The sequence below is a fragment of the Homo sapiens genome, chromosome 13, assembly GCF_000001405.40.
Source record: "Homo sapiens chromosome 13, GRCh38.p14 Primary Assembly".
Taxonomy (NCBI): Eukaryota; Metazoa; Chordata; class Mammalia; order Primates; family Hominidae; genus Homo; species Homo sapiens.
In genome coordinates, this window is record NC_000013.11 from 92,268,347 (window position 1) to 92,287,002 (window position 18,656).

Genomic DNA, 18,656 nt, shown 5'->3' on the forward strand with positions numbered 1-18,656 from the left:
TCTTTCTATACTTTTTTTTTCTCATGGAAAAATGATATAGGCACAGATATATAACAAAATAGGATAGTATCATACAGTTTTTAAATCAGATTTAAAAATACATACTCTTAATTCACTTCTGTGGTACCTACATATCTTTATTTTGTAAAATAGTGACACTGTATTTCCTGGTGGAGATGTTTATAATAAATTATTTAACCAGCTCTATATGATGGATATTTAGGTAATATCTTTTTTTTTTGCTATTATACACGCTCATAAAAAACTTTGTTCATTTATCTTTATTCCTGCTAGAACTTTTGTAGCCATTTTTCTTGAAATGAAGCTACAAAATTATTCTGTAAGAATTTTTTATCTTATACTTACCTCATAGATTTGGACTGGAGACAAATATGTGTCCTTTGCTTTATGTCTAAACAGTATCAGGTTAAATTTTGGTCCAGAATAAAATGTATGTGAATACTTTTTCTTATGTCATTGTCAGCAATGGATGTAACTAATCTTTCAAAGTTGACAATTTTATGATTCATGTTTTCAAACTTTTTTTAGTATGTTTAATTGCCTTTTATATACGTTTTTATTAATTGTAGATCTTTATTAAGTTTACATTTGTCTATTTGGTTGTTATATTCATATTTATATATAGGACTTCTTAATTTAGTAGATAAATAACCATTTGGTCTGTTTATACTCTTCAAATGCTTTTTCCCAGTTTATATTTTATCAGTAGACGTTATTCATAATTACTCTTATTTTGTCTTTGGAAATGATGCATGACTTGATTTCTTTTCAAGGGCTTTACTCAAAGAATATAAACCTTATTTTTCTAATTTTCTTATATAATGCTTGGATCCTTTATCCATTTGAAATTTGTTTTTGTATATGCTAGGTGGTAGTATATACTTTCATAACTAAATTGAAATACCCCAATTTTTATATATCTGATTTTACTTCTGTATGCTATTAGGTTGTAATTTTCTATTTGTCGATTATGTTCCTATATCAAACAATTTTAATTATAGTAGCTTTATTTTTTTAGACATCTATTCCTTTTTTTTGTTTTGTTTTGTTTTTTTTGAGACAGAGTCTCGCTCTGTCGTCCAGGCTGGAGTGCAGCAGCACGATCTCGGCTCACTGCAACCTCCGCCTCCCGGGTTCAAGCAATTCTCCTGCCTCAGCCTCCCAAGTAGCTGGGACTACAGGCATCTGCCACCATGCCCGGCTAAGTTTCTTGTATTTTTAGTAGAGACGGGATTTCACCATGTTAGCCAGGATGGTCTCGATCTCCTGACCTCGTGATCTGCCCGCCTCAGCCTCCCAAAGTGCTGGGATTACAGGCGTGAGCCACCACACCTGGCCCGAAGGGATCCTTTGACCTAAATCCTAACCCCATTACAGCCTCTGAGTCTTCTCGTCTTGTGGAACACAGAAGTCTGCCAAAGCTAGAGCAGGATTTTGGTTTTCGTTTGTTTTGTATTCCTTGTTTTCTTGCTTTATAGAAGAGCTCATGGCTAGGATGGGTGATTTTAGTACTAGACATTATCAGCATTTCTCATTTATGTTGCTAATTAGTAAGCATCCCTACCAAAGTCTATTTCAATGCAAGTAACCTGTAGTTATATCCTCCGAGTGATTTTGTCATGTGGAGACCCTTGTACTTTTCTGATCCCAGCAAGCTCACATGGGAACTGTGGTTCAGGGAAGGGTAAGGAGGGTGGTGGGGAAGGGGAGGCTCCCACATGTCCTCAGGCACATATTACAGAAATAGGAACATAGGGATCATGATGGGAATTTGAAACTTGTTGATTGTAGTGAGCAAATCATGTAAGAAGGAGATACTTGAATGGCAAATGGAATGTAATGGTTCTTCCCATTATATATTGATAAGATTTGGATCTGTGTCCCAGCCCAAATCTCATGTTGAATTGTAATCCCCACTGTTGGAGGTGGGTCTCCGTGGGAAGTGATTGGAACATAGGGGTGGATTTCCCCCTCCATGCCGCTCTTGTGACAGTGAGTGTATTCTCATGAGATCTGGTTGTTTAAAAGTGTGTAGCACCTCCACACCTCTCTCTTTCTCCTGCTCCTGTGTAAAGTGCTGGCTCCCCCTTCACTTTCTGCCGTGATTGTAAGTTTGTGGAGGTCTCCTCAGAAGTCAGGCAGATGAGTCTTTTACAGCCTGTGGAACCGTGAGCCAGTTAAACCTCTTTTCTTTGTAAGTTACCCAGTCTCAAGTATTTATACCAATGCAAGAACAGAGTAATACATATATCTAGAAAATGTGGACTCTTAAAAATTACTCCTCATTAGGTAGTAACAAATAACATGAATTGCAAATAAGAGGATAATATGAAAATATCTTTGTTTTTATAGGTTGCTGTTTCATAATAGAAAATCCCTACATGCAGATTCTGAAATCAGTTCATTTATTTAAATCCTTTTCTGGGCAGATCAAGAAAGCTAAACTCCTTTTTAAAAATATAGACATTAGAGTTACATTTGCAAAGATAACAGCCTTGGATCTCTTCTATGCTTATATAATACATAATCTTGCTTTGTATTTGAATATGAAAGAGCTATTTTATTTTTGTTGGCTTATGTGTGGTCTTTATGAACCATGCTCAAGCACACTACCTTTAGAAATATTTGGTTTGGCCTTCAAAAAGACATAGAGGCTCTATGAGGTCTACTGGGAGTTTGGGAGCTGACCTATCACTTGATGTAAACTATTGTTTCCAGGGCGCCCACAGAAACAATTTAGAGCCCAATTCCCTGGAGCTTCACTGCTGTGAGATAAGTATGTGATTTCTCCTTTGTTTCTGAACAATGTCCAAGTAACTTTCTATGTAGAGCAATGCCAGGGCATGCCATCTACTATGCCTTGCCAAAGGTGATATTTTTGGGGAGACATGGAACATGTTGTACAGTCATTTGTAGCTTCACATTTTAACTAAGTGTAGAAGGAGAACTACCTGTTACTTCTAGCAAAAATATTTTCCCAGGGATCATGATAAATGAATAATCTGTTTCTAACTCCACCCTTTTATGGCTTATACCTTACTTGTTAATGCCCTTGGGACATGTTTTCCATGAACCAGAGTCTTTTACAACTTATTATATATTTCCAGGTATAAAGTTAGCTGCTAAAGCCACCTTTTTGAGAAAGAGATTGGTGACAAAGAATACTATAGGAATATCATGCAGCAACTTATATATGAAATAAAAAGAGAAAGTTATAAGTTGTAATCCTCTAAATATATTAATAGGCACGTTTAGTAAGGATGTAAGGCATAATGATATTCCTCTGAGATAAAGAAATCCAGGGTGGAGTTGTGAATGAAGCTGGAGAGGAGAAAGGAGAGTCAGAAAGAAGGTAGAGCTCTAGAGATAAATGAAAATGGTGAGTAGGAGTTCAGCAATGCTTAGTGTATGTGACTAGGTAAGTAGGAAAGAAATTACACTGCAGAAATGATTTCTTATCCTCCAGTATAAATATGGTCTGAGTAATGTTTCTTAGGCAGTAATAAGATGACTGTAAATAAATTGAAAATACAAAATGAAGATAAGATTAAGCATAAGTAAAAAAATAAAGCCTCAAATCAGCAACATTGAGCCTAATAGGATGACGGGAGTCAATCATCTGATTGTTTATTTTGGGGCTCAAAGTCTTATTTGGCAAACCTACATCCTTTCCATTCTGATTGTCACCTTTATTCACTATACTCAGCCAGTGATGGCAGGGATGGGCACCTGCATCTCTAAACTAGTTAGTAAGTTTCCTAACATGTCATGATTAACATTTGAATAAAGTTCTTTCATTTAAAATGCAATTTGACTAGTTGATCCTAATATACCCTTCCCACATTTTTTTAGCCAATATTTACCTGTAAAAATCTAAGGATGGAAGGGAAGAAGAAAGGTAGAAACACAGGAAAGAAGGGAAAGTCACATCATCATAGAACACATAGGCTGTCTGAGAGTCAGCCTACTGCATTCCTGAGAGGAATATCCACTAGCCATGAGGTACTTGGGGCTACATTGAGAAAACTGCCTATGATGTAACCATCTAGCAATGTTTTGATTTATGAAATAGAATTGATATTTCTATTTGAAAGACAATAGGAAGATAGTGATTCTGCCATCACAGCCACTGAGTACCCTACTAACTTGTCAGAGGACCGGACAGGTGCAGGAGAAATCACAAGTCCTGCACAGTCAAGACTCTGTGAAGGAATGGCATTGGAAAGTGTAATTATCAGTCTCTTGCCCCATTGTGTAATGAAAAGTTCAACCCGGGCCTGGGACCTACCTGGCCATTGATCAAAGCCAAAAATTGATGTTAATGTTACATAGCCCCCACCTTGTTGACAACGAGAAAAGTAATGGATCCCAATACCATGGAGCTTAAAAGCATGTATTACAGAACAAAGTGGAATAATTAGAATCTGTGAGACTTGGAGAAATATAAACTTTCATAAATGATATTCTATAGAACACATTAGAAAACAATTTGACAATCCTGATAGGATGCTGGAGACATAGCATGGCCTCAAATTGAGAAGGATAGAAAGCCATATAGTGGCAAAAATATAACAACATGAAAATGAGCGATGAGAGAGTAAAGCAAGTCAACTTGTGAAAGAGAAATTGGAGAGCTTAACTGGTGGGGACCCTGGGAGAGGTGACACCACCAAATTTCCTTTGAGATTTGGTGGTAATTTACTTGAAAATAAATTTACTTGAAAATAAACAGGACTTTTTCTTGTTGTTTTGATTTCTTCTTAGTCACAATGTTTCCTTTATTTTTAAATTTAAAATAACATTAAAATATCTCTGGACCACAGACTTATCTTGTTTAATACAGTATTCCCAATTCCCAGCACCATGACTAGATACTGTAAGTATCCTGCAACTATCTATTGAATTAATCAATGGATGATGATTTTTACACTATCAAAATAGGCCTGAAGCAATAACTCCACAGCTGGTCAGTCTGAGTCCATCTCTAATCTCCATACTCATTAGCTATGGCCAGTGACCTCTTATGCATCAGTTTTCACATTTGTAAACAGGGATAATAATAATATCTTTTAAGTATGTTATGAGATTTACAGGGATAAGGTGTGTAAAGTGTTTGTTCTAATAATAAGTGCAGAATAAATGTTAGCAATTGTCATTATATTAAAACAGCAAAAAAAAACTAGGTATAAAAATGAAGGTGATGTGATACTCTTACCAAAACAAAGGAAATTCCCCTCCCTGAACAGGCTTTGGTGAGATATTTATATATATTTAGAAAATTAAAACAATTAAAAATGGCAAAAAAAATGGAGTTTGCAATAAAGAAACAATGATGTGGAAAGGAAGCTCAAACGTCTACTCTGTGAATTTAAGTGCCAGGAGAAAAAGGAACAGTAAATCCAAGGTTCAGGGGAAATAGTTACAACCCAAGTATTTAATCCATAGGAAAATGACAGTCATAGATGAAGAGAAAGATGTTGTATCATATGCAATGAAATAAGAAAAATTATCCAATACCTGCAAATAACCAAAACGATTCCTGTGTGACCCTTCAGTAGACTGCCAAACATAGTCTAGAGGGCCCTCCTGGAATCGCCTAACTATACAAGAGTATGCTCTTTAATTGACTAGTTTCTTTAACAACTCTGTAGGACTAGATACCAACCTGTAGAAAACTGGTGACAATGAAGTGATTCACTTGAAAATTATACTTTCTGAAAGTGGTTATAAAATATTTTGGAGCATATGCTTTTTTGCACATAATAATTTTGTAAAAGTTTATACTGATTTCATATTGCCCTTAGAATTTTATTCTAGGCATGATTTTCATTATAGATACGGATTACATGGCTATTCATGACCCTGGTCTCTGCTTAATTTTTCATCTTCTTTATCTTTCATTTTGAATTCTTCTTCTCTTACTACTCCTTGCCTTGCATTTAACATCACAGACAGTAGATCAGGCCATAACTTTTTCTCACCTTCTCACCTCTGTGTATTTTCATTTGTTGTGTCCTTTTTCAGACCAGCATCATCTACCCTCTCCATGAGGCATGCAAACATACCACCCTTCTCCTGAGTAACTCGTACTTATTGTTTAAATATCAGCTTTTCCTCATTGTTCAGGATCTTTAAACTCCATTCTCTGGATTTGTGTCCCTATGGTCTAGCCTTGGTAACCTGTGGATCAAGAGTCTAGATATTGGTTAGCTGGCTCTTCCACTCCAGGATCTCTCAGAAGGTTGCAATCAAGGTGTCAGTAACAGCTGGGATTTCACTGAAAAGCTAAAATGGGGAAGGATCCATGTATAAGCTCACACCATTGTCAATAGCACGTGACCCTCTCTAACATGGCCGCTTGCTTCATCAAAGCGTATGGGCTGAGGAGACGACAACAGAGTGAGTTTATTAGCCAAACGGAAGTTACAATCTTATGCAGTATAATCATGCATTCTGTTGATTAGAAGAACATCACAGGTCCATTCACACTCAAGAGGAAGAATTACACAAGGTGGGGAACATTGGGACCATTTTGGAATAAGCCTGCCACTGTAGTGCCTGGGACAGCTGTAGAATAAGGTACTGAAAAGATGGATGATAAAAAATTCATTAATGAATATATGATTTATATAGAGACTATCTTACAGAAATATGCAGAAAATCCCTTCCCTTGAGCATAAGATAATAGATGAATTTGCTTCACTTTATTCATATTTTTTTCACTTTGAATAGATTCTCTTACTTTCTTATTCTTCCTCACTAGTTTTCAAAATATTTTCATAAAACATGGTCAGTTAAGCTAAAAATCAAAACAATTGAAATAGATATTAATTGATTCATTAAAACCCTACTTTACATAATTTTCTTTAAAATACACACAGGCTTCTGTATTTTTTCTAATATTTTGAAATCTACATTACAAATGCAACATGGATCCAGAGCAATGTGAGCATCGCCACAGATATGCAAAATCCATTTAAAGGATTTCATCATATATTTGCCTCAACCTCTTGAAATATAACTTTAATGATACACACTAAAACTACTTAATGCAATGAAATTGACTTCGTTGAATTTTATAACAGGACATAATTTTGACTTTCAATGAAAAAATAAACAAGATAATATCCTTGCAAACTTTGTCTAAACAATAAGTCAGAATTGGGGAGTAATTCTATAATAAAATAAAACACAATTACATTCTGTTTTATTTGTGATTTCTTCTATTAGACATCTGAACATTTCTTTCACCCATAATTTTGGATTCTCTAAAGTAATAGAAGAAGGGCCAAACCAAGCTGCAGGAAATGGTTACATAAATATACTTAATGATCCTTGCCGAATATATAGTACCTAATATTATAGGACAGTATTTCTGGGGCATGTATCCATCGTTACCAAGGATAAATAAAGCCTTTTCAAAATTGTATTCTATATGGGTTAATGTCTGCAAAGGTTAAAAACATCAAATTCTGGAATATCATGACCTGATATTAGTGACCCAGTAATAGGTTGACATTTGCAATTCTTTGTTGGGGGTAATAGCCCACCATATGCAAAGATCACCTTCTGCATTTAGCTGCTTATTTCAAAGGAAAACATATGAGTGATAATAGTGCAAGGGAGGTTAATAACAGGTACAGGCCTAGCATAGCTTTTATCAGTTCATTTAGAAAATGAACTGAGAATTGCTGTCAACTTGATTGGGAAGAGGAAAGAAAGAACGGACCCATATGGGAGGCATCAGTCAGCTTCCAGTGTGTGTGTGAAGGTTGTTTGCAAGGTTACTTGGGCTGATACAACATAAAGCTGGAATTTGCATGTCAAATTTTGTTCCTTTTGTAACATACTGTCACACAAATCACTGGCCCTGGGGTTTAAATTTCACAGATGTCTAAACTCATTTAAAAATTAAACTGCAATAATTTGTGATCCACAGTGCACCTAATCTTTCTGATTTTCTCAGAATGGTTTGTTTTGCCATTATACTTTCTTCTTACCATCTAAAATTCTAATTCTTCATAGACTATCTCAGTTTTTCCTTCAAAAGCTAATGTATTCTTTGACGAGACTATTATTCTTTGAGGCCATTGTATTATTATTACAGTTAAAAGATTCAAAAAACACAATATTTACTCATAGTTGGAATCACAAACAAAAATAATTCAGGATTAAGGTGACCATTACATTTTCCTGGGCTTCTGGAAAAGTAAAAATGTGATTCATGAGTGCTAGCTTTATTACCTTCTTATTTATTACATTGTTATTATTTCAACTACCTAGCAATTTTCAGAACACTTTGCAAGGAACATTTACACTATGTTTTGCTCTATGAATTATTTCATCAGAATTAAGAGCCTTTTATTACTATACAATATCCTAAGATGCAATGATCCAATAGATGTATAATGACCTGCTATAGATTTTATTAACATTGCCAAACATTAATATCTTTCCTCAGTGGAATTGAAAGCATTGCATGATAAAATTTTAGTATAAATTTTACAGGAAAGAATTTCAAATGATGATGCAAGTAGAATTTTACTCATCCAGAGGAGGTATATATTAGTCATGTTACTTTAGTACACTGGAAATATGAAAAGTAAACATTACTTTTAGTCTCTCTCTCTTTTTTTTTCTTTACTTTATATTTACAGGAAATGCTAAAGCAACATTCTGTTGCTTACAACATTCACATAGGTTCCAATTATGCCTGGTTAATTCAATGATACAAATTTTGCCTTATTTCTTACCATTATTATTATTATTAAGTAATATAACATTGAAATAGTTTCACAATTCTGTTTCATATTTTCTTCAAGATTGTAGGGAATTGACACCCACCATGGGTCTGGGAACATGTAACACCTTGAGCGTTTTTGAGAAGCAGAGAAGAAGGGAAAGTCTAAGATTGTGCTGAGGTTTCTGGGGGAAAATCCATACATTTTCAAGTATGTTACAGGCCATATTCTTCGTTTTATGTACATTCTAAGGTAACAACAATTCAGTTAGAATTATTTAAAAGAAAGGCACTTGCATTTATTGCATAATTACAGCAATGAGTATGTTCAAGGATGGTCAACAATTAGGATAGCTTGTAATTAGTGGAAGGTAATATTATACATCACTTATTATTTTACCCAAGTGCAGAAAACATCTCAAGTTCAAGAGTATATGTAAATTGATGATGCATTTCCTCCTCTGCTGCTAATAAAAAGATCAATAGAATAAGAATATATTAAAATTTAATACTAAGCATTTTTTTACTTTGTTTTTTATCGTTGCTGTTGGCCCCTGTAAAATTAAATGGTTGACAGTTTTTACATTCAAAATCTGAAGTTGTTAAAAATTTTGATCACAAAAATGGCACTGCAGACAACTTGTTTCTACTTCTCTAGTAGAAACAAGTTCTACATTAATATGTGAAAAAGTGTTAATTCAATCAATATGTAGTCCATGAACATCTGTTAGGCATAGAAATATGATGGGCAGTAAGGTCTAACTCCTGGCTTGATGGTATTTAGATACTAGAAAAATATAGTCATATATACTTAATTTACTATGGTCTCTATATTCTATTTGATTAAAACTAATTATATAGTAAACAAGTAGATCCTCAATAAACAATAATGAAAAGTTTTTATTTAAGAATCTGGAATTTTAGGCTATTACTCTCTGGAGTTAACCAAAGATCCTAGCACTCTCAAGAAAGATTGAGAAATGCAAATATTAGTTTTAATTTTTAAACTATAAAAATATATACATATACAAATATTACTTAACATTAGTATAAAGAAAGTTTGCCTTTTGGTAAACAAAGTGTGGTCTACATATTTAAAATTTTAATGTTTTTATTAAACCTTTTTAGATATTCAAACTACTTTTGTTTGCAGACACATTTAAAGCAGTAATTGCCAACTTAAAGACCGTAACCACTTTGATAATAAATCTATATATGCAGCAAGAAGTGCTTCCAATCTGAATTTAAAATATACCTTACACTCATATATGAATATTTTCCTTGTGGATTGAGACATAGTTGTGACTAACAAAATAAATTAAAAATATTACTTGATTCTTACAGAGAATACAAATGCCACAAAGTTAGCATCAATATTTAAAAAGTCTAAAAGACAACTTCTATAATTTGGGATGGGCAATGTACCTTTTATGATTATTTTCACATTCCCACTTATTTATTTTTTCTTTTGTTGTTCATGCTTTTGGTGTCAAGAATCCATTGCCTGATCATGAAGATTTACCCTGTGATTTCTTTCAATAGTTTTATACTTTTAGACCTTCATTTAGGCTATGGTGCATTTTGAGTTAAATTTTGTGTTGGGTGTGAGGAAGGGGTTCAACTTTATTCTTTAGAATATGTTTTTCCAGTTATCCCACCACTATTTGTTAGAGATCACTCCTCCCCCCGTTGACTTGTCTTGATACTCTTGTCAAAAATCAATTAGTCATGGATGCTTGGGTTTATTTCTGGACTCTCAATTCTATTCCATTGGTCTATATGTCTATCCTTCTGCTAGTACTACATTTGACTACTGAAACTTTCTAATAAGTTTTGAAATTGGGAAATTTGAGTCTTAAATCATTTTTTTTTCTTTCAGTGTTGTCTTAACTATTAAGGGCCCCTTGTGATTCCACATGAATTTGAAAATCAGATTTCCCATTTCTGCAAGAAGGGCCATTGGGATTTTGATTGAGTTGCACTGAATCTTCTGATTACTTTGGAAAGTTTTGTTCTATTAACAATAATAAGTATTTTGATTACCAATACAGGCTATATTTCCATTTATTTGGGCCTTCTTTAATTTCTTTCAGTAATGTTTTGTAATTCTTAGTGTGCATACCTTGCACTTCCTCATCTTACTTCTTCCTATGTATTGTTTCCGCTTTGGATGCTATCATAAATGGAATTTTCTTAATTTCTGTGTTTGATTGTTCATTGCCATTGTATATAAACACAATTAAGTTTTTTATATTCATCTTGTGCACTGAAAAATTACTGGATTTGTTAAATATTGTTTAATATAGAAAATCATGTCATCTGCAATAGAGATAGTTTTTACTTCTTTTCTAATATGTCTGTTATTTCTTTTTCTTATTTTATTACTCCTGATAAGACTTTAAGTACAATGTTAAATAGTGTGATGAATCTCTGTCTTTTGTCTTGTTCCTGACCCTAAAAGCAAAGCTTTCAGTCCTTCACCATTGAGTAGGCTGGGTATTTTTTTATTATTATTATTATGAAAGGGTATTGAATTTTATCTTATTGCTTTATTTGTATCTGCTGAGATGGTCATGAGTTTTCCTTGGTTCTAAAAATACATTGTGTTACATTGATTACTTTTCTTACATTGAAATAAGCTTGCATTTCTAGAATAAATTCCACTTTGCTATGGTATATAATTTATTCAGTATGCTTATTTGGTTTTCAAGTATTTTGTTGAGCATTTTTGCATCTACATTCATAAGAAATATTTTTCTGTAGTTTTCTTATGGTATCTGATTTTGATATCGGTCGAATTCTGGCTTCATAGAACGTGTTGAGAAGTATTTCCTCTATTTTATTTTTATTTTTGGCAGAAGTTTGGGTAGAATTTGTGTTAATTCTTTAAATATTTGATAGAATTCACCAGAGAAGTTTATCTAATTGTGGCCTTCTTGTTGATGGTAGGTTTTTGATTATTCAGTTTTTCTACTGATATTTCTCTTGAGATAATTTTTTTCTACATTTGATAATGTGTATTTCTAGAAAATTTTCCAATTTGTCTAGATTATCTAATTTGTTGTCATATAATTATTCTCTTGCAATTCTTGTAATTGCTATAATATTCGTAGTTCTATTTCTGATTTTAGTTGTTTTTGTCTTCTGTCTTCTTAGTATAAGGATTTATCAATTTTGCTGATCTTTTCAAAGAAACAACTTTGGTTTTGTATGTAGCCTCTATTTTTCTACTTTATCTTTGATTTATCTCTTCTCTAAACTCTATTAGTTCCTTCCTTTTGCTGGATTTAGGTTTAGTTTGCTTTGCTTTTTCTAGTTTGCTAAAGCATTAAGTTATGTTGTCAATATCGGATCCTGTCTTTTTAAATGTAGGCATTTATAGCTGTAAGTTTCCCTTCAAGCACTACTTTTGCTATATCCCATAAGTTTCGTTATGTTGTTTCCATTTTTATTTATCTCAAATGATTTATTTGTTCTTTGATCTTATTATGAACTAAAAATTTATTTGCTGAATTCCTAACTTCCAGTACCTCAGAGTATGACTGTATTAGAAGACTGAGTCTTTAAAGGGGCAGTTAAGGTAAAATTAAATCATATGGTTGGTCCCTATTTTAATATGACTAGTATTCTTATAAGAAAATATGACGGGGTGCGGGGGGCGGTTGCAAGATGGCCTAATAGGAACAGCTCCAGTCTATAGCTCCCAGTGTGAGTGACACAGAAGACGGGTAATTTCTGCATTTCCAACTGAGGTACCGGGTTCATCTCACTGGGGCTTGTCGGACAGTGGGGGCAGGACAATGGGTGCAGCCCAGCAAGCCTAAGCCAAAGCAGGGCAAGGCATCGCCTCACCCAGGAAGTGCGAGGGGTCAGGGAATTCCCTTTCCCAGTCAAGGGAGGCGGTGACAGACAGCACCTGGAAAATTGGGTCACTCCCACACTAATACTGCGCTTTTCCAATGGTCTTAGCAAATGGCACACTGGGAGATAATATCCCGTGCCTGGCTCAGAGGGTCCCACGCCCACGGAGCCTCGCTCATTGCTAGTAAGGCAGTCTGAGATGGAACTACAAGGCGTCAGCAAGGCTGGGGTAGGGGAGCCTGCCATTGCTGAGGCTTCAGTAGGTAAACAGAGCAGCCAGGAAGCTCGAACTGGGTGGAGCCCACCACAGCTCAAGGAGGCTTGCCTGCCTCTGTAGACTCCACCTCTGGGGGCAGGGCATAGCAGAACAAAAGGCAACAGAAACCTCTGCAGAAGTAAATGTCCCTGTCTGACAGCTTTGAAGAGAGTAGTGGTTCTCCCAGCACAGAGTTTGAGATCTGAGAACAGACAGACTGCCTCCTCAAGTGGGTCCCTGACCACCGAGTAGCCTAACTGGGAGGTACACCCCAGTAGGGGGAGACTGACACCTCACACGGCTGGGTACCCCTCTGAGACGAAGCTTGCAGAGGAAAGATCAGGCAGCAGCATTTGCTCTTCAGCAATATTCGCTGTTCTGCCACCTCTGCTGCTGATACCCAGGCAAACAGGGTCTGGAGTGGACCTCCAGCAAACTCCAACAGACCTGCAGCTGAGGGTCCTGACTGTTAGAAGGAAAACTAACCAACAGAAAGGACATCCACACCAAAACCCCATCTGTACATCAACATCAGCAACGACCAAAGGTAGATAAAACCGCAAAGATGGGGAGAAAACAGAGCAGAAAAGCTGAAAATTCTAAAAATCAGACCACCTCTTCTCCTCCAAAGGAATGCAGCTCCTTGCCAGCAATGTAACAAAGCTGTATGGAGAATGACTTTGACAGGTTGAGAGAAGAAGGCTTCAGACGATCAAACTTCTCTGAGCTAAAGGAGGAAGTTCAATCCCAACACAAAGAAGCTAAAAACCTTGAAAAAAGATTAGACAAATGGCTAACCAGAATAACGAGTGCAGAGAAGTCCTTAAATGACCTGATGGAGCTGAAAACCATGGCACGAGAACTATGTGACGAATGCACAAGCTTCAGTAGCCGATTCGATCAACTGGAAGAAAGGGTATCAGTAATTGAAGATCAAATGAATGAAATGAAGTGAGAAGAGAAGTTTAGAGAAAAAAGAGTAAAAAGAAATGAACAAAGCCTCCAAGAAATATGGGACTATGTGAAAAGACCAAATCTACATCTGATTGGTGTCCCTGAAAGTGACGGGGAGAATGGAACCAAGTTGGAAAACACTCTGCAGGATATTATTCAGGAGAACTTCCCCAACCTAGCAAGGCAGGCCAACATTCAAATTCAGGAAATACGGAGAACGCCACAAAGATACTCCTTGAGAAGAGCAACTCCAAGACACATAATTGTCAGATTCACCAAAGTTGAAATGAAGGAAAAAATGTTAAGGGCAGCAAGAGAGAAAGGTCGGATTACCCACAAAGGGAACCTCAACAGACTAACAGCGGATCTTTTGGCAGAAAATCTACAAGCCAGAAGAGAAGGGGGGCCAATATTCAACATTCTTAAAGAATTTTCAACCCAGAATTTCATATCCAGCCAAACTAAGCTTCATAAGTGAAGGAGAAATAAAATGCTTTACAGACAAGCAAATGCTGAGAGATTTTGTCACCACCAGGCCTGCCCTACAAGAGTTCAGGAAGGAAACACTAAACATGGAAAGGAACAAAAGATACCGGCCACTGCAATAACATGCCAAATTGTAAAGACCATCGATGCTAGGAAAAAACTACATCAACTAGTGAGCAAAATAACCAGCTAACATCATAATGACAGGATCAAATTCACACATAACAATATTAACCTCAAATGTAAATGGGCTAAATGCTCCAATTAAAAGACACAGACTGGCTAATTGGATAAAAGAGTCAAGACCCATCAGTGTGCTGTATTCAGGAGACCCATCTCACATGCAGAGACACACATAGGCTCAAAATAAAGGGATGGAGGAAGATCTACCAAGCAAATGGAAAACCAAAATGCAGTGGTTGCAATCCTGGTCTCTGATAAAACAGACTTTAAACCAATAAAGGTCAAAAGAGACAATGAAGGCCATTACATAATGGTAAAGGGATCAATTCAATAAGAAGAGCTAAATATCCTAAATATATATGCACCCAATACAGGAGTAACCAGATTCATAAAGCAAGTCCTTAGAGACCTACAAAGAGACTTAGACTCCCACACAATAATAATGTGAGACTTTAACACCCCACTGTCAACATGAGACAGATCAACAAGACAGAAAGTTAACAAAGATATCCAGGAATTAAACTCAGCTCTGCACCAAGGGGACCTAATAGACATCTTCAGAACTCTCCACCCCAAATCAACAGAATATACGTTCTTCTCAGCACCACATCACACTTATTCCAAAATTGACCACATAGTTGGAAGTAAAGCACTCCTCAGCAAATGTAAAAGAACAGAAATTATAACAAACTGTCTCTCAGACCACAGTGCAATCAGACTAGAACTCAGGATTAAGAAACTCCCTCAAAACCGCTCAACTACATGGAAACTGAACAACCTGCTCCTGAATGACTACTGGGTACATAACAAAATGAAGGCAGAAATAAAGATGTTCTTTGAAACCAATGAGAACAAAGACACAACATACCAGAATCTGTGGGACACATTTAAAGCAGTGTGTAGAGGGAAATTTTTAGCACTAAATGCCCACAAGAGAAAGCAGGAGAGATCTAAAATTGACACCCTAACATCACATTAAAAGAACTAGAGAAGCAAGAGCAAACACATTCAAAAGCTAGCAGAAGGCAAGAAATAACTAAGATCAGAGCAGAACTGAAGGAGATAGAGACACAAAAAACCCTTCAAAAAATCAATGAATCCAGGATCTGGTTTTTTGAAAAGATCAACAAAATTGATAGACCGCTAGCAAGACTAATAAAGAAGAAAAGAAGAATCAAATAGACACAATAAAAAATGATAAAGGGGATATCACCACTGATCCCACAGAAATACAAACTACCATCAGAGAATACTATGAAACACCTCTATGCAAATAAACTAGAAAATCTAGAAGAAATGGACAAATTCTTGGACACATACACCCTTCCAAGACTAAACCAGGAAGAAGTTGAATCCCTGAATAGACCAATAACAGGCTCTGAAATTGAGTCAATAATTAATAGCCTACCAACCAAAAAAAAGTCCAGGACCAGACGGATTCAGAGCCGAGTTCTACTAGAGGTACAAGGAGGAGCTGGTTCCATTCCTTCTGAAACTATTCCAATCATTAGAAAAAGAGGGAATCTTCCCTAACTCATTTTATGAGGCCAGCATCATCCTGATACCAAAGCCTGACAGAGGCATAACAAAAAAAAGAGAATTTTAGACCGATATCCCTGATGAACATCAATGCAAAAATCCTCAATAAAATGCTGACAAACCAAATCCAGCAGCACGTCAAAAAGCTTATCCACCATGATCAAGTGGGCTTCATCCCTGGGATGCAAGGCTGGTTCAACATACACAAATCAATAAACATAAACCAGCATATAAACAGAACCAAAGACAAAAAACACATGATTATCTCAATAGATGCAGAAAACGCCTCTGACAAAATTCAACAGCCCTTCATGCTAAAAACTCTGAACAAATTAGGTGTTGATGAGAAGTATCTCAAAATAATAAGAGCTATTTATGACAAACTCACAATCAATATCATACTGAATGGGCAAAAACTGGAAGCATTCCCTTTGAAACCCGGCACAAGACAGGGATGCCCTCTCTCACCACGCCTATTCAACGTAGTGTTGGAAGTTCTGGCCAGGGTAATCAGGCAGGAGAAATAAATAAAGGGTATTCAATTAGGAAAAGAGGAAGTCAAATTGTCCCTGTTTGCAGATGACATGATTGTATATCTAGATAACCCCATCGTCTCAGCCCAAAATCTCTTTACACTGATAAGCAACTTCAGCAAAGTCTCAGGATACAAAATCAATGTGCAAAAATCACAAGCATTCTTATACACTAATAACAGACAAACAGAGCCAAATCATGAGTGAACTCCCATTCACAATTGCTTCAAAGAGAATAAAATACCTAGGAATCCAACTTACAAGGGACGTGAAGGACCTATTCAAGGAGGACTACAAACCACTGTTCAATGAAATAAAAGAAGACACAAAGAAATGGAAGAACATTCCATGCTCATGGATAGGAAGAATCAATAACATGAAAATGGCCATACTGCCCAAGGTAATTTATAGATTCAATGCCATCCCCATCAAGCTACCAATGACTGTCTTCACAGAATTGGAAAAAACTACTTTAAAGTTCATATGGAACCAAAAAAGAGCCCACATTGCCAACTCAATCCTAAGCCAAAAGAACAAAGCTGGAGGCATCACACTACCTGACTTCAAACTATACTACAATGCTACAGTAACCAAAACAGCATGGTAGTGGTACCACAACAGAGATATAGACCAATGGAACAGAACAGAGCCCTCAGAAATAATACCACACATCTACAACCATCTGATCTTTGTCAAACCTGACAAAAACAAGCAATGGGGAAAGGATTCCCTATTTAATAAATGGTGCTGGGAAAACTGGCTAGCCATATGTGGAAAGCTGAAACTGGTTCCCTTCCTTACACCTTATACAAAAATTAATTCAAGATGGATTAAAGACTTAAATGTTAGACCTAAAACCATAAAAACCCTAGAAGAAAACCTAGGCAACACCATTCAGGACATAGGCATGGGCAAGGACTTCATGTTGAAACACTAAAAGCAATGGCAACAAAAGCTAAAATTGACAAATGGGATCTAATTAAACTAAAGAGCTTCTGCACAGCAAAAAAAAACCTACCATCAGAGTGAACAGGCAACCTACAGAATGGGAGAAAATTTTTGCTATCTACTCATCTGACAAAGGGCTAATATCCAGAATCTACAAAGAACTCAAAGAAATTTACAAGAAAAAAGCAACCCCAACAAGTGGGCGAAGGATATGAAGAGACACTTCTCAAAAGAAGACCTTTATGCAGCCAACAGACACGTGAAAAAATGCTCATCATCACTGGCCATCAGAGAAATGCAAATCAAAACCACAATGAGATACCATCTCACACCAGTTAGAATGGTGATCATTAAAAAGTCAGGAAACAGCAGGTGCTGGAGAAGATGTGGAGAAATAGGAACACTTTTACACTGTTGGTGGGATTGTAAACTAGTTCAACCATTGTGGAAGACAGTGTGGCGACTCCTCAAGGATCTAGAACTAGAAATACCATTTGACCCAGCCATCCCATTACGGGTATATACCCAAAGGATTACAAATCATGCTGCTATAAAGACACATGCCCATGTATGTTTATTTCGGCACTATTCACAATAGCAAAGACTTGGAACCAACCCAAATGTCCATCAATGATAGACTGGATTAAGAAAATGTGGCACATATACACCATGGAATACTATACAGCCATCAAAAAGAATGAGTTCATATCCTTTGTAGGGACATGGATGAAGCTGGATACCATTATTCTCAGCAAACTATCTCAAGGACAAAAAACCAAATACCGCATGTTCTCACTTATAGGTGGGAATTGAACAATGAGAACACTTGGACACAGGAAGGGGAACATCACACACTGGGGCCTGTTGTGGGGTTGGGGGAGGGGGGAGGGATAGCAGTAGGAGAGATACCTAATGTAAATGATGAGTTAATGGGTGCAGCACACCAACATGGCACATGTATACATATGTAACAAACCTGCACATTGTGCACATGTACCCTAGAACTTAAAATACAATTAAAATATCACTAGTAAAAAAGAAAAAAATATGGCATGAAAATACACGGAAGAAAAACCATGTGTAGGTACAAGATGGCCATATGCAAGCCAACGCTAGAGGCCCTCAGAAGAAACCA

At 36.2% G+C, this 18,656-nt stretch overlaps 1 protein-coding gene across 2 annotated transcripts in view, besides 2 other annotated features; it reads left to right on the top strand.

Annotated features, from left to right (window-relative positions):
• Positions 1 to 18,656, top strand: part of GPC5 (glypican 5) — a 1,468,617-nt gene that overhangs the window by 869,726 nt on the left and 580,235 nt on the right. The window lies entirely within an intron of this gene.
• Positions 12,247 to 12,747: an enhancer, noted in NCBI's record as "H3K4me1 hESC enhancer chr13:92932846-92933346 (GRCh37/hg19 assembly coordinates)". NCBI's record gives its function as "activates a minimal SCP1, AML or CMV promoter by ChIP-STARR-seq in naive H9 embryonic stem cells {active_cell/tissue: H9 hESC(naive)}" and the evidence as "EXISTENCE:reporter gene assay evidence [ECO:0000049][PMID:30033119]".
• Positions 12,748 to 13,248: an enhancer, noted in NCBI's record as "H3K4me1 hESC enhancer chr13:92933347-92933847 (GRCh37/hg19 assembly coordinates)". NCBI's record gives its function as "activates a minimal SCP1, AML or CMV promoter by ChIP-STARR-seq in primed H9 embryonic stem cells {active_cell/tissue: H9 hESC(primed)}" and the evidence as "EXISTENCE:reporter gene assay evidence [ECO:0000049][PMID:30033119]".